Source organism: Homo sapiens, chromosome 2 (assembly GCF_000001405.40).
Source record: "Homo sapiens chromosome 2, GRCh38.p14 Primary Assembly".
Lineage (NCBI taxonomy): Eukaryota > Metazoa > Chordata > Mammalia > Primates > Hominidae > Homo > Homo sapiens.
In genome coordinates, this window is record NC_000002.12 from 225,838,987 (window position 1) to 225,863,801 (window position 24,815).

Genomic DNA, 24,815 nt, shown 5'->3' on the forward strand with positions numbered 1-24,815 from the left:
CAGTCCCCAGGCCTTGCTAGAGAGAAGGTCCTGACATTGACCAGAAACACTGTATCTAGTGATGAACTGAATCAAACTAAAGCTATAACAAGTTCTTCAGCCAGCTCCAATAATCACTCATTTGGCCTGAATGGGAAAAAAGTGTGACTCTTTCTGGAGACAAATTTTCAATGTGCCGTATTTTTTTTAAATGAGAAAATGTGAAATATGGTCAAGAAAGGAAACAGTCAACTAAAGAAGATTCAGAGGCAACTCAGAGGTTGGAATTACAAGATAGGAACTATAAAATAACTACTGTAAAATATGTTAAATGATATACTTGAGAAGATTCACAATATTCACAGAAATATGAGAAACCCAAATGGAAATGTAGAAATGGTAGAAGTGAAAAATACAAAATCAAAAATGAAGAATATTAAATAGGTTTGACAGCAGATTGGATACAATACAGGAAAGGATCAGTGAACTTGAAGATGGGTCAATAAATAATACCTAACTGAAGCCCAAGAAGAAAGAAGAGTGAAAAAATGAGGTAATTTGAAAGCATGTCTACAAATTCTTTGACACTCTCCCATCAAGAGGAGATTTTGTAGTTTCTTTGACAGACAGAATGAGGTTAAAGAGACACTTTTGTGACTTCTGGGACAAGGTTTAAAAAAGAACATGGTTCCTCTGCTCTCTCCCAAGGGATACTCATGCTTGGAATCTAGCCACTATGTTGTGAGGAAACTCAGGCGAAATAGAGTAGACATGTGTAGATGTCCCAGCTGCCAGTCTCCATGAAGTCCCAGCTGACAGCCTGCATCACCAGCAAGCATGTGAGTGAGGAAGACTTTGAGATGACTCTAGGTTGATTAAAATCAAGCGAGACATACTTAGTAAGACCTTTGAAGAGCCATCCTGGTTTCAGAGCTTCCGTGGATCTGACTGAGGTCTTCATGAGACATTATGGTAATCCAACTTTTCTCTCTGTCCAACTCTATTTGTTCCTCCCTCGCTGCAGGTAATGATCCCAATAGCACTCCCTGACAAAGCTTGTGCTAGTGGTCTTCAGCTTAGAGTCAGCTTCCTAGGGATTCTAACCTGTGACAGACCCCAATCTTAAACTCTATTTGTCAAGGGGTAGGTAAAAGTAAATAAATAAACATTACAAGTAAAAGTATAGTAAGAAAATCTGAGAGGCTATATTTACCTATCTAGTAATGGGAGAAACCTTCTTAACAAAGACTGGGAACTCAGGAGATACACTTTTTAAAAAATGGACATATATTAATATAATTTAAATTCTTCTGTATTACTTCAGCTTATTTCTTTTTCTCCTTTAATTCCTCTTTAAATATGTTTCAAACAGGCTTTTGTCATGTTACAGACTAAGTGATAGCAAAATTAATTCTATATACAAACATTTGATGAAAATATTTTTGATGCAGAGAGCTCAATATATAATATTCAAAAGGCTATTACTTTTTTGACTAAAAAGAGACAACTTAATACAAAAAGTGTAAATATAGAAGAGCAAACTTCAAGAGACTACAGACGTATGAAAAAATGAAATGCTGAAGCTCAATAAAATTCAAGGAAATGTAAACTATAATATAACAAGGTTTTTATATCCATTGCAGTAATTTAAATAAAAAAGAGGAAAAACACCTATTGCTGGTAAGAATGGAATTGTTTCAGCTTTCCATAGAGCATCTTTGAAATATTCTAATAATGTGAATTAAAAATACATATTCCTTTGGACAAGTAATTTTATCTTGAGACTTTATTTTACAGCTAAAAGCACCAGAACATAGGAACACAGGTATCTAGAGTATTATTATCATGACAAAAAAGAAAAGAAAAGTGAATGACCTTCAGTAGGAAAGCAAGTTAATAAGTTCAATAAGTAAATTCCTATAATTTTATGTTGCCTTGGCATCCATTTTGAATATGGTTTTAACTTTCCTGTACCAGAAGCAGGGCTTATTTACCCTCGACAGTTTTCATTCCTCCACCTCCTCCCAGTTCCTCAGTATAATCAACCGACTTTTATAAAATTGTCTCCTGGTGACCATCTCTCTGTGGGACAACCATACATAACCTACGTAGTTTCTATACCCTGTATGGACTGTATAGATATGCCACAGTCATTGTGACTCCATTGAACATGTGCCTGCTTGCTCTAAACTCACCATTTAGAACTTCCTGCAGGAAACCTGCCTGGATAATAATACCTCACACCCCAATAAAGGTCATGGTTCATAGGCCCATCTGTCTCTGGCTCCCCCACCCAGTGGTTGAGTGTGCATGTCCTGAATGGCTCTGCCCTTTACTTTGGCCCCCTGAGGCATGCTGCCCTCTTCTTTCTAGGATCTGTAAGTAAACTACTCCTGTTGTTGTATTTGTTTTGTTGAGTTGCTTCCTATGTGTCCAATCTGCAAACCCAACATTTTTCAAGATCAGTGTTCTCTTAGACACTGACTATCTTGGCAGGAGTAAACTGGACACAGATCAGACAAGAACCACATGGGTGTCTGCCAGTATAAACAAGTTTTCTATGAAAGGGACATCTGGTCCCAGGTTGAACACTTAGGCATTAGGCCATCCATGAGGTTAAAGAAATATCCGATGAAAAGCACACTGTAAACATTCATGACCAAATCTTCTGGAGTCAGGGCAGGGCTAGAGTTTATAGTTACTTTTAAGAAAAAGACCTGAATGCCAAATTAGAGAGAAACACAACATAAGTTATGAAACATATACGTCCTGGAATATTATACAGCTATTGAAAATAATGAATGAGGGGTAAGTGTACACTCAGTGTACTAAGTAGAGGTGGTGAGAGCAGTCCTCCTAGATAATGGTTATAAGGAGGCTTTCTGTCTGTAAAACATTTACCCAAATAGAAGACACTCTGCTTATTTATATCAAGATATGCTGCTGGTAATTCTAAACAATCTTTCTGATAATATACTTCTCAGCCAGGCCCCGTGGCTCATGCCTGTAATTCCAGCACTTTGGGAGGCCAAGGTGGGAGGATCACTTGAGGCCAGGAGGTCAAGACAATACACTGCTCCCCACCAGTGTAAATCCTCCCTGCCACTCCCTTGCCCTTGGCATCCCTCTATGTAGCAATTAACTTGGAGATATGTCCACAACGTACTGGTGAGTGAAAAAAGGAAAATGTAAAATAGATCTCTCATATTATCCTGTTTTTCTTTAAAATGATGATCAAAACCCTGTATCTATATGCATGTTTATAGGAAAATAGAAATCACAAATATTTATAACACATATATATTCATTATTTCATATCAATTGAATCAATTGAAATCAAATAATCATTGAAATGATTACTGAGCATGAGAAAGATAAAAGGCTACTTTCTATGTTATTAACATGGGCTATGGGAGACCAGATGAGAGGGGGATGGACAGGAAGGAGAAGAAAAGACAGAATATAAGCAAAAACATATTTTAAAGTACTGCATTAAAAGCATATGTATGATTTGACCACATCTGTACAGTTACATACATATCAGGGTGGAAATGTAACATCACTTTTAATAATTTCAAAAACAACAGAAAATAACAAAGTTTAATACTCTCAAGCTGAAAATTTGGGATTCTGGTTTCAGAATTCCATGCTGTCTGATGATACGAAGATCTGAAATCCTATGGGAAGAACATGCTAAAAGCTCAGGCTTGGGAGCTAGCTGATAAATCCACAACCACCGCTAAAATGCTGAATTTACTCCATCAGGAAGCTCTTACCATTTGCTTTAATTGCAAGTTAAGAACTGACTCTTTTAGTCCAATACAAAAGCATACACATAATAGTCACTCACCACGCCACTGCAAATTAGTATTCAGAATGAAGGCAAACTTTTAAAATACCATTTTCTTTAGAACAAATATAATCAAATGGTTAAAAGAGCATTCCAATGATTTTTACTTCATTTCCTAGCTTTGTTTGCTTGTTTAATTATCCAGAAAATTGTGACACAAGTGACTTAATTTTTTACTGTAATCTTTATAAACACAAAAGCTTGAATTTCACTAATTCCAAGAAAGCAGAGCAGGGGTGGGTATTGGGGTCATGGTTTGTACCTGACACAAAACAAACTTTTTAATTGTATCTAATCAGAAACAGATTTTGTTTTGAATTCCGATGTTAAATCCAGCAGTTCACATTGAGAAATCTGTGCAGAGGCACCACAGATTTCTCTATTAGTCATTCATGCTGCTTTGTTCATGTCACTGTGACCCTGCAAAGAACACAGTGTCCTTAGAAACATTAAAATAATGTTCTAGGTGAACCTCATAAAGTACATTAAAGTTATAACTTTATCCTGTTTAAAGGACTGCAAATTTACTAAAAGATAGAAAAAAGTCTTTTTAATATATAATCTGGATTAAGGTACATGTTAGGTTTTGGAGGATCTATTGCTTGTATCAAAGTCACTAGATTTATAGTATCAGCAACTTATTATAAATTAATAGGATCAGGTTAGTATCTTTTTATCTTCTGAACAGTTCTTTTAATTTTAGGCAAAAAGACAGTGTAAAGAATCAAACAGAACATTGCCAAGCAAAGCCTTTTATTTCCAATTCTACTTTGGTCCCAGGTAGTATTTAACTATTTCCAACAAACAAAAATAAATATCATTTTTCATAAAGAGCTTCACAGTCAATCTCTGCAATCAAAGGAGTTTCTATGAAACAGATTATTCAGATAAATGTCTTTCTCTCATTCAATAAATAAACATTGAGTTAGACAAAGATTTCGTTCCAAGTTTTGAACACTTGCTGGTCACAGATGGACCAGTAAAACACAAGCCTGTTCTCAAAATGTTTACAGGCTCAGACAGAATAAAATGTGAGGGTCATCCTAATTATATTTGTACAAGGAATTGTGTAAGCATAGAAAACTATGAAAAACATAATTTTGATTACATTATTTATATATTTTTGTAATATGAGTAGTTCCAAGATCAGAGTTATGGCCACACATTGCTCTAATTAAACACTTAAAGCCACCTACAAGGTCTTAGGGCTATCAAGCAGCCAAATCCACGTGCGTGAGGCACAATTGAGATGATGATTTTATGCCAAATTCTATATCTTAACAAATAGAATTACATCAAGTACCATCTTCCTTTTAGAAAAATTATACTTGTATTTCTCAGACGTGGAAGTATCATTAGGAATTTGGATCTGTTCACTATGGAATAGTGCATGCCTATTTGGAATTTAATTTCTTGTTCACGTATGGAAAATGAATTATGTAACTTAAGCTGACATCTGACCAGGTACTTTTCTCTCCAACTCTCTGTCATTAGATGATGATGAATAAAGGCAGTAAAAATATTTTCTCAAAATCTAGGCAAATAGCCTGGAATTGTTGATGATCACTTAATAAAAAATTTTGACTTGTAGATTTTCTTAGGAAGCTGTAAGCTCATGAAAGTATTGAAGTTGATGATTTGAAAGATGTTTCATTTTTGTTTTGTCTTTTTAAATTCAGTACTCATGAAATGAGTTTTTAATTTTAATTTTTTTTAATTTTATTTTTTTGAGGCAGGGTCTGGCTCTGTCTCCCAGGCTGGAGTACAGTGGCATCAACTCAGCTCACTGCAACCTCTACTTCCCGGGTTCAAGCCATCCTCCCACCTCAGCCTCCCAAGTAGGTGGGACTACAGGTGCACACCACCACACCCAGCTAATTTTTGTATTTTTTGTAGAGATGAGCTTTCACCATGTTTCCTAGGCTGGTCTCGAACTCCTGAGCTCAAGTGATCCTCCCACCTCAACTTCCCAAAGTGCTGGGATTACAGGCATGCGCCATGGCACCCAGCCCCGTGACATGAGTTTAAAAAATAAAAGTCCAGGATGACTTATTTATGATTTATTTTCATACCAATTTGCCTTCATAGTTATCAATCTCTATATGAAGTTTTATTTGGATACAAATAAATAAAAAAAAAATTATAGGCCCCAAAGAGCTTTTGGAAGAAATTTTTGGAATGAACTATGATGCTTAGACTTTTGTGTTTTTTTAAAGGTAATTCTGGTTCAGTTTCATACATTGACTTTTTAACTCTTGGTAGTTGTAAGCTTCAGCATTGACCTAGAATAGCAAATTTAAAATAAATTAGCTAAAGTGTATTCAGATACGTAACTCCTAGTAATCTTTAGGGAAATAATTGGATATGGTTTGTCTTCTTCCTGTTCAGCTAAATATGGATTACCTAGCCATAGCAGTAACATTTATTGCAGGTCTTAGTATGTGTTGGGAACTCTATGAAGCGCTTTGTGAGTACTATCTCAAATAAGCCTTCAACAACCCTATGTAGTGTGCATTTGCATTAATTAAAAGGAAGCTGACTGCTATAACAGGGAAATCCCATCATCTGAGTACCTTACACAAAGATATTTTTTTCTCACTCATGTAAAGCACAGTTATGTACTTGGGAGCAGAACAAGGTGTATTTTCTATACAGTCTTTCAGGTGACTCGGGCTGAAGGAGGCACAGTCATATACAAATTACGTGGATTCCAATGATCTTTGTAGGCAATACAATCCACCAAATGGATGAAGGAAAAAATAGTAGAGAATCAAATGGGATAATTTTATTGGCCAGGCTTGGAAGTGGCATACATCATAGAACTCAGTCACATAGCCTTATCTTATTGCACAGGAGGCTGGAAAAGTGTTGCCTAGCTCTGCACCCAAAAGGAATGGGTATATTTGGTGAGTAGCTAGACAGTCTGTACCAAGGTACAGTGTATATTCTACTTTACTGCTAAAGAAAGTAAGGCATGAAGAAATTTCAACTCTAGTATATGACGGGCTACAAAGCACATCTATTACATATTGTCTATTTGTAAATAGCTTACTTTATTATATGTGTATGTCATTAATATGCTGTACTCTGAATGTAAAAGTGCACTTCATGATAACATACTGAGTTTGCATATAACAGATGTTCAATGACTTGACTAAAAATTTTTTTCAAATAAACTTCAATCTTATTTGGCAGTAGGTTACATCCTTGTAGGTTTTCAGTAACTAAATACGTGAAAAATCTAAGTATGCAAAAGACTAACGACACAAAACAATCTTGGTTGAATAATGGACTCTATTCAGTAAGTCTAAACTGACTGAACTATGGAGCTAGTAGAAGAAAATCAGAAGGCAATGTGAAGTAACTTGATGTAGTTAAAAGAAGTCTGACATATATTCAGAGGTGCAAATGATACCTTTCCCGAACTACCAGTAAAGGTGCCCAAGAGCACCACTAAACAGTGGGGCTGTGAACAGGTTGGCTCAGCAAACTCTCTGCCCTGACAGTTTAAATCTTGACCTAAACAACACAAGGATGTGGCGGGCGGGGGAAGGAAGAGTGGAGCTGATTTTTCCCAAAATTGAAGACCTTAAAAAAAAGAGCTATTAATTTATGCTACCTGTATCTTGGGCAAGATCCAATTTCTTGTTCTGTCTGAGCTTTCAAGCTTTAAACTTCATAAGGAAGACTTATTCAAACATAAATATTCCCAGCTATGGAAGAACTAGAAAGGTACATTTTCATCAGAACTTTGAGGGGGTAGCATCTAAGCAGATTTTTTGCAAGTGCAAAAAAACTCTAGACCTTGTAGTCTATTTAAAAAATTAACAGATACTTGTGTTCAGCTCTATGAATGACCCATGTTTGGTTTTTATTTCTGTGACAGATACTGCTATTTTTATAGGACTATGGGCAATTTTCATGCTCTAGGAGACATGTAATGTTTATCTGGTGTTGAGATGCCCCTAGCACATTACCATGTCCTCCTAAGGGTACTGATAATATGGTGGTGAAGCAGGTTTCAAAGTTGCCTCCGCTGGTAATCTTCAAGGGTTCACCTTTTGAGATAGATCATTATCATAATTATTTTATCATCATCAGATTATTTGTTGAGCCACATGTAAGCCATATTCTTAGCACATACACGCATTTTATTATAAAAATTATATATATCCACTAAAGGTCATCAACATGTTAAAAACAAATAAAATGTATGAATTTATTTATTCATTAAAAAATTTTAAAAATCTGTTCAGTGAGGCTGTAACTGGAACTGGAGAGTACGTTCCAGCCTTACTTCTGCTCAATAATGTGAGATCAGTGGTGCTCAGAATTCAACAGTGTTACAGGCTGTATCCCAGTTTTCCACATCTACTCTGACAGATACTGTGGGTTTGGTTCCAGACGATCTCAATAAAGAAAATATGGCAATAAAGTGAGTCACAAACATTTTTGGCTTTCCAGTGAATATAAAAATTATATTTTCACTGTACTATAGTCTATTAACTATGCATTAGCATTATATCTAAAGAAACAATGTATATACCTTAATTAAGGTGTGTACTTAATACCATATTGCTAAAAAGTGCTAATGATAATCTGAGCCTTTTGAAAGTTGTAAACATTTTGCTGGCGGAGGGTCTTGCCAGATGTTGATGGCTGCCGACTCATCAGGGTGGTAGTTGCTAAGTGATGGAGAAGCAATGTCTTAAAATAAGACAACAATAAAGTTTGCTGCATTGATTGACTCTTCTTTATATCAAAGTTCTCCCAGTAGCATATGATGCCATTTGATAACATTTTATCCACAGTAGAACACCTTTCAAAATTAGAGTCAATCCTCTCAAACCCTGCCACTGCCTTATCAACTAAGTTTATGTAATAGTCTCCATCTTTTGTTCTCATTTCAACATTCTTCACAACATCATCACCAGAAATAGCTTCCATCTTAAGAAATAACTTTTATTATTGCTTATCCATAAAAAATAACTCCTCAGCCACTAACATTTCATCATGAGGTTGCAGTCATTCAGTTACGTCTTCAGGCTCCATTCTTATTCTGCTCCTCTTGCTACTTCCACCACATCTTCAGTTACTTCCTCCCTTGAAGTCTTGAGCCCCTCAAAGTCATTCATGAGTGTTGAAATCAACTTCTCCCAAACTCCTGTTAATGTTGATATTTTGACCTCTTCCTGTGAACGATAATTGTTCCTAATGGCACTGAGAACTGTGAATCTTTTCCAGAAGGTTTTCAATTTCCTTTACAAAGACCCATCAGAGGAATCACTATCTATGGCAACTATAGCCTTACAAAATGTATTTTTTACATAAGGCTTGAAAGTTGAAATTAATCCTTGATCCATGGGCTTCAGAATGAATGTTCTGTTAGAAGACATGAAAACAACATTAATCTCCTTGTACATTTCCATCAGAACTCCTGGGAGATAAGGCGCATTGTCAATGAGCACTAATATTTTGAAAAGAATCCTTTTATTCTGAGGAGTAGACCCCAACGAAGGGCTTATAATATTCAGTATACCATGATGTCAACATATATGAAGTCATCTAGTCTTTATTATTCCATTTATAGAGCACAGACAGAGTAGATTTGGCATAATTCTTATGGACCCTAGGAGTTTGGGAATGATAAATGTGCATTGGCTTCAACTTAAGAAACATCAGCTGCATTATCCCCTAAAAATGAAGTAAACCTTTCCTTTGAAGCTCTGAAGCCAGACATTGACTTCTCCTCTCTGTGAAATTTCTAGATGGCATCTTCTTCCAGTAGAAAGCTGTTTTGTCTACACTGAAAATCTGTTATTTAGCATAGCCACCTTCATTAACTGTTTTAGCTAGATCATCTGGGTAACTTACTATAGCTTCTATATCAGCATTTGCTGCTTCACCTTGCACTTTCATGTTAGTGAAGATGGCTTCTTTCCTTCAGTCTCATGAACCAACCTTTGTAGGTTTAAACTTTGCAGCTTTTAAATTTTTCTTCTGCACTTTCCTCATTTCTCTCAGCCTTCATAGGATTGCAGAGAGATAGGGCCTTGCTCAGGGTTAGGCTTTGGCTTATAGTGATGTTGTGTCTAGTTTGACCTTCTATCCAGACCACTAAAACTTTCTTCATACCAACAATGAGGGTGTTTTGCTTTCTTATTATTTTTATGTTCACTGGGGTAGAATTTTTAATTTTATTCAAAACTTTTTCCTTTGCATTCATGACTTTGCTGTTGCAAGAAGGCTGAGATTTAGCCTATTTCAGCTTTTGACATGCCTTGCTCACTTAGCTTAATCATTTTTAGTTTTTGATTTAAAGTAAGAGATATGGGACTCTTCCTTTCACTTGAACACTTAAGAGACCATTGTAGGGTTATTAAATGGCCTAATTTCAATATTGTTGTGTTTGGCGGAACAGGGAGGCCCAAGGCGAGGGAGAAAAATGGGGGAACGGTCAGTCAGTGGGACAGTCATAACATACAAAACATTTATTGATTGCATTTTCCATGGACACAGTTTGTGGTGCCCCACAACCACTGCAATAGAAACATCAAAGATCACTGATCACAAATTATCATAAAAGATACCATATTAATGAAAAAGCTTGAAGTAGTGTGAGGATTACCCAAACAGGACACAGAAACATGAAGTGAGCACTCGCTATTGGAAAAAGGCGCCAATAAACTCACTATCTGCAGGGTTGCTACAAACCTTCAACATGTAAAAAATGCAATATCTGTGAAATGCAATAAAGTGAAGCACAATAAAATAAGGTGTGCCTGTCCTTCCTTTGGGACTCAGATCAATTATACCTTATCACATTGGCCCAGCATTCTCTATCCCCTCACTCTGCTTTATTTTTTTCATAGCAACTTTAATCACAAAATATATCACATATAGGCTTATTTACCAATTTTATGTGTCCCCCAAGAAGGATGGAAACTCCAACGAAATGGCAACTTTGCTTTATTCATGGATAAATTCCTGTCATTTACAGTAATAACTGCCAAAAGAAGCATTTAATAATATTTGTTGAATTAATAAGTGCCTTTTGAAAGTTTGCCATAGGAAAATATTTTATAACTTTTAAATTTTTTATTTTATCATCACAGATAGACAAAAGTTGCAAAGATAGTATATACAGAGATATTCCATGTACTCTTGTCCAGTGTCTTCCCTCAAATGTTACATCTTAAATAATAATAGTACAAGATCAAAACAAGAGTATTGACATTGGCAAAATGTGTGTGCAGAATTCTAAAAAATTTTATCAAATGTGCATATTTATGGAATCAATTCATAAAGATACAGAACTATTCCGTCACCGCTAGACCTTTCTTGTGCTACCCCTTAAGACTACGTACATTCTTCCACCCTTCTTCATTGCTAATCCCTGGCAACCACTAATCTACTTTTCACATGTGTAGTTTTGTAATTTTGAGAATCTTATATAAATGAAATTACATTATAAAGTATGCAACTCTGGGATTGGCCTTTTTCACTCAGGAGAATATCCTTGAGAGCCATTCAAATTGTTATATCTGTCAGTATTCTGTTATTTTTAAATTGCTGAATAAAAGTTCATGGCATAGATGACCCACCGTTTAAACATTCACCTAGTGAGAAACATTTTGGCCATTTCAGGTTTTTGCTATTACAAATGAAGCTGTTTTGAAAAATAGTGCACAGGTTCATGTGTGAACATAAGTTTTTGTTTTTATCGGATAAATGTCTAGATATGCAGTTGCTGAGTGTATGATAATTGTGTTTTTAGTGTTTTCAAAAGAAATTTCCAAAGTATTTTGAGAGTGGTTGTACCATTTTATATTCCCGCCAGCAATGGATATAGATTCAGTTTTTTAACACCATCACCAATATTTGGTATTTGGTTGTGCATGCATGTGTGCGTGCATGTGTGTGTGCATGTGTGTGTGTGTGTTTATACATTTGACCCTTGAAAAACATGGAGGCAAGGGGCACTGACTTTCCACGTAGTCAAAAATCCATGTATAACTTTTGACTCCTCAAAAACTTAACTAATAATTGCCTAATGTTGACCAGAAGTCTTACCAATAACAATAAATTAATACATATTTCGTGTGCTATATGTATTATGTACTGTATTCTTACAGTAAAGTAAGCGAGGGAAAGAAAATGTTATTAATAAAATTTTAAGAAAAAAGAAATATATTCAGCATTCATTAAGTGGAAGTGGATCATCATAAAGGTCTTCATGCTCATTGTCTTCGTGTTGAGTGGTCTGAGGAAGAGGAGGAAGAGGATGGGTTGGCCTTGCTGTCTCAGTGTGGCAGAGGTGGAGGAGGTGGAAGGAGAGGCAGGAGAAGCAGGCATACTTACTGTAACTTTTATTGAAAAAAAAATTATGCATAAATGTACCCACACAGTTCAAACCTTGTTGTTCAAGGGTCAACTGTATACTGTTTTAATAGGAGTGCAGTGATATTTCATTTTTCCTAACAGCTAATGATGTTAAACACCTGTTTTTAGGCTTATTTTTGTCATCATGTCTTTTGTTCATTTTCTAATTGGATTGTTTGACTTTTTTCTTTAACTGTTGAATTTCAGGAGTTCTTTTTTTTTATTATTATACTTTAAGTTTTAGGGTACATGTGCACATTGTGCAGGTTAGTTACATATGTATACATGTGCCATGCTGGTGCGCTGCACCCACTAACTCGTCATCTAGCATTAGGTATATCTCCCAATGCTATCCCTTCCCCCTCCCCCCACCCCACAACAGTCCCCAGAGTGTGATATTCCCCTTCCTGTGTCCATGTGATCTCATTGTTCAATTCCCACCTATGAGTGAGAACATGCGGTGTTTGGTTTTTTGTTCTTGTGATAGTTTACTGAGAATGATGATTTCCAATTTCATCCATGTCCCTACAAAGGACATGAACTCATCATTTTTTATGGCTGCATAGTATTCCATGGTGTATATATGCCACATTTTCTTAATCCAGTCTATCATTGTTGGACGTTTGGGTTGGTTCCAAGTCTTTGCTATTGTGAATAATGCCGCAATAAACATACGTGTGCATGTGTCTTTATAGCAGCATGATTTATAGTCCTTTGGGTATATACCCAGTAATGGGATGGCTGGGTCAAATGGTATTTCCAGTTCCAGATCCCTGAGGAATCGCCACACTGACTTCCACAATGGTTGAACTACTTTACAGTCCCACCAACAGTGTAAAAGTGTTCCTATTTCTCCACATCCTCTCCAGCACCTGTTGTTTCCTGACTTTTTAATGATTGCCATTCTAACTGGTGTGAGATGGTATCTCATAGTGGTTTTGATTTGCATTTCTCTGATGGCCAGTGATGATGAGCATTTTTTCATGTGTTTTTTGGCTGCATAAATGTCTTCTTTTGAGAAGTGTCTGTTCATGTCCTTCGCCCACTTTTTGATGGGGTTGTTATACATTTTAGATGTGAGTCTTTTGCCAGCTATGTGATTGGCAATTTATTTTTTACCTCTTGTAGCTTATCCTTTAATTCTTCTAACAATGTCTTTCACAGAGTAAAAATGTTTAGTTATGACAAATTTCAGTTAGATTTTTTTACAGAATGTGCCTTCAGTCTCACATCTCAAAAGTCTTCACAGTGCAGAACCTACAGTGTGAAAATTTTCTCCTAGTTTATCTTCTTAATGTTTTATAGTTTGAGGCTTTACATTTAACTCCATAATACATTTTGAGTTAATTTTTTAATTTTTTTAATATTTATTTTTTTTGAAACGGAGTCTTGCTCTGTCGCCTGCCCAGGCTGGAGGGCGGTGGCGTGATCTCGGCTCACTGCAAGTTTTGCCTCCCAGGTTCACGCCATTCTCTTGCCCCAGCCTCCAGAGTAGCTGGGACTACAGGCGCCCACCACCAAGCCCGGCTAATTTTTTTTGTATTTTTAGTACAGACGGGGTTTCACCGTGTTAGCCAGGATGGTCTCGTTCTCCTGACCTTATAATCAGCCCGCCTCGGCCTCCCAAACTGCTAGGATTACAGGCGTGAGCCACCGCGCTCGGCCCTTGAGTTAATTTCCGTATAAAGTATGAAGTTTAGGTTTTGTATAAAGTGTGAGGTCTACTTTTTCTGTCTGTAGATGCTGAATTTCTTCAGTATCATTTATTGGGGAAGCAATCCAGCTGCTGCTGAATTGCTTTGCTCCTTTGTCAAATATTAATTGGGCATATTTATATAAATCTATTTCTGGATTCAGTACTCTGTTCTATTGATCTATATGGACATCCTTCCACAAATACCCCACAACCATGTAATAAGGAGTCATATAACTGTAGCCATATGATAACTGTAGCTGTATAATAAGTCTTAAATTCAGTTAGGATGATTCCTCTCCCTTCATTTTTTTTTCAGAATTATTTTAGCCTTTCTAGTTATTTTACCTTTTCATATACATTTTAGAATAGTCTCATTTGCAAAAAAAAAAATCTTCTGAGACTTGATAGGAATTACATTAAACCTGTATATCAATTTGAGAAGTCACATCTTTATTAATACCCATGGAAATGGAATGTCTCTCATTTATTTGATTTTTTAATTTGATTTTTTCATTAGCATTTTCTCATTTTCAGCATAGAAGTCCTATGCATATTTATTAGACGTATACCAAAGCATTTTATTTTCAATCTATTGTAAATAGTACTGTATTTTAAATTTTGGTTTCCACATGTTAATTGCTAGGATACAAAAATACAGTTGATGTTTGTAAGTTTATCTTTTTTCTTGGGAACTTGCTGAACTCACTGAGTCCTAGAAGATTTTTGTGGATTCCTTGGGATTTTCTACATAGACTATTATGTTATCTGCCTATATGTAGGCAGTTTTTAAAAAAAATTCCTTTCCTGTCTATGTGCTTTCTATTCTTTAAAATCTTATTGTGCTGGCTAGAATTTCTATTATTATGTTGAATAGTAGTGGTAAGAGAAAACATTCTAACTTCCTTACTCTAATTTTTTTCTGTAGATATTCTTTACCAAGTTGAAGAAATTTTCTATTTCTAGTTTCCTGAGACTTTTCATTGTGAATGAGTGTTGAGTTTTGTCAATATTTCCTTTTATCAATTGATAAAATTTTATGATTTTTTTTTCCTTTTAGTCTGCTTATATTTTGGATCACAATAATTTCCAACTACTGTACTAGCCTTCATTTCTGCTACAACTCGCACTTGGTCATACGTTACTGAACCATATTTTATAATGTGTTAAAATTTTTGGATGTATATTCATGAAAGGTATTGGTCAGTAGTTTTCTTTTTGTGTGTGTGCTATCTGTCTGGTTTTGGTAATAAGGTAACATAAGCTACTATAATAAGTTAGGAAGCATTCCCTCCTCTTTTTTTTGAAAGAGACTATATGAGATTTGTCTTAATTTTTATTTAATTATTTGGTAAAATTATTTGGTACCATCTGGGCCTGGAAAGTTTTTTTTTCAGGATATTTAAAATTATAAATTAGGCTGGGCGTGGTGGCTCACGCCTGTAATCCTAGCACTTTGGGAGGCCGAGGCAGGCAGATTACCTGAGGTTGGGAGTTCAAGACCAGCCTGGCCTACATGGTGAAAGCCTATCTCTACTAAAAATACAAAAAATTAGCCGGGTGCCATGGCGTGTGCCTGTAATACCAACCACTCTGGAAGCTGAGGCAGGAGAATTGCTTGAACCCGGGACGCAGAGGTTGCGGTGAGCCAAGATCATGCCACTGAATTCCAGCCTGCACTACAGAGTGAGACTTTTTCTCAAAATAAAATAAAATAATAAATTAATTTCCTTTATAGGTATAGGTCTATTCAAATTACTTCATATCTGGTAAGATGTATTAATTTGTATTTTGATAAATTTTTCTATTTCACATAAGTTGGCAAATTTATGTATATAAAGTTGCTCTAAGCATTTTTCTATTATCATTTTGATGTCTTAAAGAACTGTAGAGACATCTTGTTTTATTTAGGATACTGGTAATTAGAGTATTCCTTCTTTTTTTCTTGTCAGTCTTCGTTAGAATTTGGTCAATTTTATTGGTCTTTTTCAAAGAACCTGCTTTTTGTTTCATTAGCTTTTCTCTATTTTGTTGTTTTTAATTTAATTATTTCTGTTTTTATGTTTTGCAATTTCCCTTTTCTGCTTATTTTAAGCTAATTTTTGCTCTTCTTTTTCTAGGTTCCTTAGGTTAGTGCTTAAATGGTTAAGATTTTCTCCCTGTGCTAATGTATGCAATTAATACTATTTATTTTCCTCTCAGTACCTCCTTAGCTGTGTCCCACAAATTTTGATAAGCCATATTTTTATTTTCTTTTAGTTTTTATTTTTCTTCTAGTTCTTAAAGTTTCCCTTGAGACTATCTCTTTGACCCATGGGTTACTTACAAGTATGCTATTAAGTTTTTAAGTTTTTGGATATTTTTCATCTGTATTTCTGTTATTTTCAATTAATAGTAGTCAGATAAGATACTCTGTATAATTTCAGTTATTTTCAGTTTGTTGAAGTTTGTTTTAGGGCAAATAACATGTTCCACCTAAGTATATATTCTATAGGTACTTTTAAAAATTGTATTTGGCTATAGTTTCATGGAATGTTCTATAAATGTCAATTAGATCTTTCAGTTGATAGTGTTTTTATTTATATCCTTGCTAATTTTCTAATTGTTCTATCAACATTTAAGAGAATAATGTTTAAGTTTCCAATTGTAATTGTGGACTTGTCTATTTTTCCTTTCAGTTCAATAAGTTTTACTTCACATATTTTGCAAACCTGTTGCTTTGTGTATACATATTTTCTATCTTTGTGTCTTCTTTGTGGATTCACCCTTTAAAATGGTGTAACATGTTTCTGTTTCTGATAATTATATTTATTTTAAAATCTACTTTATTTGAAGTTAATGTAGTCACTTCTGCTTTCTTTTGATTAATGTTTGTATTATATATCTTTTTCCTTCCTTTTATTTTCTACTTACTTATATCACTATATTTAAAGTGCATTTCTAGTAGATAGCATATAGTTGGTTCATTTTTTAAACCAAACTGCAATCTCAGTCTCTGTATTTTAATTGATGTATTTAGTCCTTTTATATTTAATGTAATTATTTGTGTGTTATGGATCAAGTGTAGTGATTTATTTTTTATTTTGCTTCATTCTGTTATTTATGTTTTTTGTTTTCTTGCTTTCCTTTGAGTTAGCTGAATATTTATTTAGACTTCCATCTTGATTTATTTAGTCAACCAATATTTTAATAATTTCAGTAAAGTGCAGAGATCATTACTCCCTCCCACTTTCAATATAATTGTCTTAAATACTGTATAAACACTGAGGATCACATTACACAGTATTATAATTTTTTGCTTCACTCTAAACATAATTTAGAAAGCTCAAGAAGAAAGAAAAATCTATTGTGTTACCATATTTTTCCTCTTTTCACTCATTCGTCCTTCAAAATATTCCAACATTCTTTCTTTTATTATTTCATTTTTGTTTGGAGAACTTCATTTTGCCGTATTTTTAAAGAGAAGGTCTGCTGATAACAAATTCCCTTTTTTTAATCATCTAAGAATGTCTTGCTTTCTCTTCATTCATAAAGGTTGTTTTGCTAGATATAGAATTCTGAGTTGACAGTTATTTTCTTATTTTTTTTCAGCACTTGAAAAATTATACCCTGCTTCTTTCTGGCCTTCATGGTTTCTAGCTGGAAACTAACTTTCCATTTTATTTCCACTATAAATAAGATATTATTTTTCTCTGGATGCTTTAAATATTGTTTTGTCTTTATTTTTTATAAGTTTGACTATGATATGTCCTAGTGTGTCTTATCATATATAATGAGGGAAAAAATACAGTTACCAGGGGTCTGAGTTTCAAGAAAATAGATCAATAGGCCAGGTGTGGTGGCTCATGCCTGTAATCTCGGCACTTTGGGAGGCCGAGGCATGCAGGTCTCTTGAGCTCAGAAGTTCAAGACCAGCCTGGGCAATATGGCAGAACACTGTCTCTGCAAAAAATACAAAATTTAGCTGGGTGCGGTGACATGCATCTGTGGTCCCAGCTACTTGGGAGGCTGAGGCAGGAGAACTGCTTCAGCCTGGAAGGCAGAGATTGCAGTGAGCCAAGATTGACCCTTATACTCCAGCCTGGGTGATAGGAGTGAAACTGTCTCAAAAAAAAAAAAAAAAAAAGATCAATAATGTAGCAGCCAGGGAAAGAATTAAGGGCACGCAGAAGAAAGCTATAACACTGAAGAAACACTTGTGAAGGTCATAGGTCTGAGAAAGATGCCAACTAAAAGTTTGAAGATTTAATTATAGCATTATAAAAGCTCTCCTCACCCGCACTTTACCACCATGTAACACAGCTCAACTATAATAAAAACAAATTGCTGCTGAAAGAGCTTCTCTGAGGAGAAGTATTTGAGAAAGCCCAAACTTAAAAGAGGAAACAAAAACAATGACACTAAAAAAATTTGGAACCTTATATATATGTAACTACAACACTGTATAAATGCAACCTAACATCTAGCCAAAGTAACAAATATCCTCACAATAAATGCAAGTTTACTTCCCTGTAATCCAAAGAGTATGTTCAGGTTTCAACAAGAAAATTAAAAGTCATGCCACAAAAGAAAAGAAAACACAATATGATGAGACAAAGCAATCATGGTTAAGAAATTTGCAAAATTAATGACAAGCCCCAAACTATATATTCAGAAAGTTCAGAGAACACCAAAATTATAAATACCAAAAAATAGTCAAACCAACAAAACAACCTAAGTATATCATATTCCAACTACAATCAATCAAAGTCAGGGAGAAATTCTTTAAAGAATCCAGAAGGAATAAACACTTTAACTACAGTAAAACAAGGACAAGAACTAGAGTGAATTTTTATTTGAAACCATGCAAGCAAGAAGAGACTAGCCTGAAGTATCTCAAGAGTTAGAAAACAAATCAACTAAAATTCTATATTCAGCAACATTTTTCTTCAAAAGTGAAGTAAATTATATATTCTTAGACAAACAAAAACAACTCTAACTCTGGCATACCTTTCCTGGAAGAAATTTTAAAAGAATTTCTTCAGGCCAAAGAAAAACGGTATATGTCAGAAATCCGTATCTATGGAAAGGAAGGAAGAACATTGAAAAAGTAATAAGGAAGTAAAATAAAGTCTTATTTTCAATTTTCTTAACAGATTTAAAAGACAACTTCTTGTTCAAAGTAATAACAATAGCATTGTATTTTGTGTTTATAGTCACGTGGATAAGTGAAATCAATGAGTGCAATGTTATAACAACACTTGGGATGAATTTGAGATAGTTGGATTAATATCTACCATGTTTGTAACTGCTTTCTATTCATTCCATATGCTCCTTGTTTCTTCCTCCTAAATTTTTTTCTCACTTTCCCTGGTTTTAGTAAGCACTTTATATGATTCCAATTTATCTACTCTCTCAGATTATCAATTATATATTTTTTAAAAAAACAAGTGTTTGTGCTACAACTTACAATATATACTACTTACTTATCCTGGTCTGCCTTACAATAATTCTATACAGCTTAACATGTAGTGTAGGCATCAGAATATTTCAAATTTATCACTTATAGAACACTTTTTTCAGCAACAGCAGAACATCTACTCTTTTCAGGTTCACATGGAACAATTGCATAGACCATATTCTGGGCCATGGGCATATCTTTAAAAATTTAAGAGACAATAAATCATATAAAATATGTTCTTAGAACTCATTGGAATTAAAAAAGAAATGAATAACAGAAAGGTAGCTGGAAAATCATCAAATATTTGGAAATTTAAAAATACAGTTCTGAATAACCCATAAGTCAAATAAGAAATTTTAAGAAAGGTAAAAATTATCTTGAACTCAATGAATGAAAATTCAACTTATCAAAATCTGTGGGATTCAGTGAAAACAGTATTCAGAGGGAAATATATATATAATGTATATATTAATTAAGAAGATAATAAGAAAAATCCTAAATCAATAACTTAAGCTATAACTTTAAGAAATAAGAGAAAAAAAGGACAAATTAAGCCAAAAGCAATCAAAATGGAGGAAATAAAAATTAGAGCAGAAATCAATGAAATTGAAATTAAGAAAACAGTAAAGAACATCAACAAAATCTAGTTCACTGCAAAGATAAAACAATTAATAAAACTCTAGCTGATAGTGAATAAAAGAGAGAAAACACAATAATCAAAAGTAGAAATGAAAGATGAGCCATCCACACTGATCTCATGGATAGTAAAAACATAAAATGGATAAGAAAATACTGGCCAGGCACGGTGGCTCATGCCTGTAATCCCAGCACTTTGAGAGGCTGATCGTTTGAGCCCAGGAGTTCAAGACTACCCTGGGCAACACAGGGGGATCTCATCTCTACAAAAAATACAAAAATTAGCCTGACATGGTGACCTGTGCCTGTAGTCCTAGTTAGTCAGAAGGCTGAGGTGGGAGGATCGATTGAGTCTGGGGGGTTGAGGCTGTGGTGAGCCAACAGCGCACTCAAGCCTGGTTGACAGAGCAAGACCCTGTCTCAAACAAAGAAAAGACAAGACAAGACTATGAACATTTCTATACCCACATATTTGATAACTTAGTGGAACTTAAATGAAATGAACCAATTTATTGAAACACACAAAATACCAAAATTCACACAAAGAGAAATTGATAACCCGATTAGGCTAATATTTACACTACAAATAAGTGATTTAAAAACTAAAGAAAAAAAATCCATCAGGCCCAGGTGGTTTTGCTCTTGAACTGTACCCACCATTTAAGGAAAAAAAAAAAGACACTGTTTTTCACAATTTGTCCCATACAATAGAACCAGTGGGTATACTTCCTAACTCATACTTTAAGCTCAGCATTACCCTAACACTAAAATCAAGACAAAGACTTTACAAGAAAAAATAAAATAAAATTATAGACCAATAACTACCATGAATATAGATGCAAAATTATCTGCTATAATTTTTGTATATTGAGTCCAACAATGCATACAAATTTACATCACAACCAAGAAAGATTTATTTAGGTATGTAAGGCTAGTTCAGTTTTCAGAAATTAATGTTCTTTGTCTATTGACAGGCTAAAGAAGAAAAGTTAAAGTTATATGATTATATTAACTGACATGAGAAAACCATTCAATACAATCTCATATCCATTCATGAAAAATCATTTAGCAACCTAGGAATAGAGGAGCAGTTTCTCAACTTTATCAAGAACAACAATCTCTACAAGTAATATATTTAATGGTGAGAGACTGGATGCTTTCCTTCTAAGATTGGAAACTAGGGAAAGATATCCTCTCTGACAATTGTTATTCAATATCATACTGGAAGCCCCAGGCTAACTTAAAAAAATTAGAGATTTGAAAGAAACAAAACTATCATTATTTGACAATGATAACATTGTCTATATAGATAGTTTCAAAGAATCTACATAAATACTTCTTGAATTAATAAGTGAGTATAACATAAAAGAAGGCTATACAAAACTAGACTGCTTTCCTATATACAAGCATTGAACAATTATATGATTAAATTACATATCATTTACAATAGCACCAAAATAAGGTGTCTAGGTACAAATATATCAACATATGTGCAAAAATCTGTTTTTAGATGAATTAGTCCATTTTCATACTGCTATGAAGAAATACCCAACACTGGATAATTTATAAAGGAAAAAGGGCTTAATGAACTCAGTTTCACATGGCTGGAGAGGCCTCACAATCATGGCAGAAGGCAAAGGAGGAGCAAAGTCACATATTACATGGTGGCAGACAAGAGAGCGTGTACAGAGGAACTGCCCTTTATGAAACCATCAGATCTCATGAGATTTATTCACTATCATGAGAACAGCATGGGAAAAACCTGCCCCCATGATTCAATTACCTCTCACCGGGTCCCTCCCAGGACACATTGGGATTGCAGAAGTTACAATTCAATATGAGATTTGGGTAGAGACACAGCCAAACCATATCATTAGAAAACTATAGAACACTGATGAAAGAAATCGCAGAAGATCTATATAAATGAGGACAATTCCTTGTACATAAACTGGAAGACTCAATATTAAGATGTTGATTCTTCCCAGATTGACCTATAGAATGTATGTAATCCTAATCAAACTTCCTGAAAGATATTTTGTAGATATCAACAAATTGATTCTTAAATTAATATGGAAAGGCAAATGAACTGGAATAACAACCACAATTTTGAAAAAGAAGAACAAAGTTGGCAACTTACACCTCAACTTCAAGGCATACTATTAAGCTATGATAATCAAGACACAGTGGTAATAGTGAAACAATAGACCTTTAAATCAAAGGAACCCAACAAATTGACCCAAAGAGATTCAAATAACTGGCAAAGATGCAAAGGCAATTCAATGGAGAAAAGATGGTCTCTTAATCAAATGGTGCTGGAACTATTGGAATCCACATGCATAAATAAAAATTTAAAAAGTAAACGAACTTAGACATAGCCCTTGCATATCGCACAAACATTAACTGGAAATAGATCACAGATGTAAATGTTAAAACTATACTTTTTTTTAGAAGAAAACATAACAAAGTGTAGTTGACTTTCAGTTTGGTGATGGATTTTTAGATACAACACAAAATTGTATAACACAAAATTTTGTAACCATTTATAAAATAAAAATGGATAGTTTGGACTTTATTAAATTTTAAAATTCACATTTGTGAAAGAAACTGTTGTGAGAAGAAGATAAGCCACAGTCTATGAGAAAATGGTGACAAAATATATTTCTGAAAAAAGACTTGTACATGAATATGTAAATAATCTTTAATGTCAACAATAAGAAGCCACATAACCCAACCAAATATCTGGATAGACGCTTTACCAAAGAAGATATACAGAGGACAAACAAGGACACACAAAAAAATGCTCAATATAATTTGTCATTAGAGAAATGCAAATTAAAACAACAATGAAATGCTGAGAAATACTTATTGGGATGGTTTAACCCTGAAACTTGATAATAATTATGACTGGCAAGGATGCAGAGTAACAGGAACTCTCATTTATTCTGGGTAGAATGCAAACAGTACAGTCACTTTGGAAGACAGTTTGGCAGTTTGCTACATAGTAAAACACAGTCTTACCACATAATCCAGCAATTGTGTTCCTAGGTATTTACCAAGTTAATTAAAAAACTTATGCCCATATAAAATCTTGCATACAAAAGTTTATAGCAGTTTTATTCAAGATGTTTTTCAATATGTTGTTCAAGATGTTATTCAGTAAACTGTGATACATCTATACAATGGAATACTATTCAACAATAAAAAGAGGTGAGCCACTAAGCTATGCAAAATTATAGATGCATATTAAAAGTATATTTATAAACTGAAGAAGTCATTTTGAACACTGGATTCTGCAGGATTCCACTTTTATGACATTCTGGAAAAGGTAAAATTATACAAACAGAGAAAATAACAGTGATTGCCAAGGACTTGGGTAGAAGAAAGCGTTGAATAAATAGAGCATAGCGGACTTTTTAGATCAGTAAAACTGTTTTGTATGCCATTATGTTGGGTACATGACACTATGTATTTGTTAAAGCGCATAAGACTACACAGTGAAAAAATTAACCTTAATATATACATATTTAAATTTTCATTTAGCAGGTTGGGGGATCCCAAATGGAAGGCAGACTGTGACAAAAGCATGGGACTATATTATAAATGCTGTAAATAATCTCTCTGAAGGGGTTGGGGGTAAGAGTTCTAAGTGACACTGAAAATGAATGGAGACTATAGAACAAAGAGTAAAGGGACATAAATATTGCACTTTGTTTGATAAAGTTATTTCCCATGGGGATATATCAGTAAACAATTCTGAAACCACTGTGCACATATGCAGGAACTGAACAATTAGCTTAAAAAATGGCACATGGTAGGAGTTAGGTTTCTCATGCTGGAGTGGAGGGTTACAGATGAGCAAAAGAAAGAAACTAGTATAATGCATGTGGTAATGCATTAAGTGTTGGAAACATCAATATAAACATGTTTAACTTAATATAAATATAGATATATCAATATAGAAATATATATTCTATAAATATACAGTTATAGAATGTAAATACACAAAGAATATATATAGAAAAAATACATATGTGTAAGTAAATGAGCTAGTATACACATATGTATTTCCTTGCTCTTTCAGCTAAAGGTGTCTGGAAGCAATTATGATCCAGTAGCAATGAGCACAACTTCTGACCATATCTTGGTTTCTAATACCATTCTTCAACAAAAAAGAACCAAGGACCCCTTGAGAAATTATTTATTCTAGATCTGGATTAGAGAGTACACAAAATGAGCCTGGAGCATGTTGCAGTGCCAGAAAAAGTGATGAAGTGCTTTCAAAAAATACACATACACACACATGTGCATGCACGCAAATGCACATATGATATATGATGGGCTATGTCAAAGGGATACAGGAGCCAAGTAAAAGAGCTTCCAGTGGCCAAAGCTAGAATAATTTTAGCAATAAGATAAATAATGTAGTATTGGATTAAAACCAAAGTAAAAAGTAAATAGCCATGAGTCTAGACTTTTACAAAAAATATTGAATAAACAAATTCATGGAGGAGTGTGAACAAACCTCCTACTCAGAATCATTATAAATAATTGATGTAAGTACTATGCTCTCAAGAAGGGCCCACACTAAACGCCCCACTTCTTAAGTGCAGACTGCACATAGTCATGTCCTTTTAAAGAGTACGATACAGAAAGAGGATAAAGAAGTGCTGTGATTTGAATGTGTCCCCCAAAGTTCATGTGTTGGAAACTTAATTTCCAATTTGACAGTACTAAGAGGTGAGACTTTAGGAGGTGATTAGGCCATGAAGGTTCTTCCCTCCTGAATGGATTAATACCATTATTGCAGAAATGGGTTTCTCTTTTGGCTTTCTTCC

At 34.4% G+C, this 24,815-nt stretch overlaps 2 long non-coding RNA genes across 5 annotated transcripts in view; one reads left to right on the top strand and one right to left on the bottom strand.

Annotated features, from left to right (window-relative positions):
• The window catches only part of LOC105373914 (uncharacterized), a 211,043-nt gene that overhangs the window by 158,438 nt on the left and 27,790 nt on the right, over positions 1-24,815 (bottom strand). The gene's annotated exons all lie outside the window — the stretch shown is intronic.
• Positions 1-24,815, top strand: part of LOC107985992 (uncharacterized) — a 118,146-nt gene that overhangs the window by 68,414 nt on the left and 24,917 nt on the right. The window lies entirely within an intron of this gene.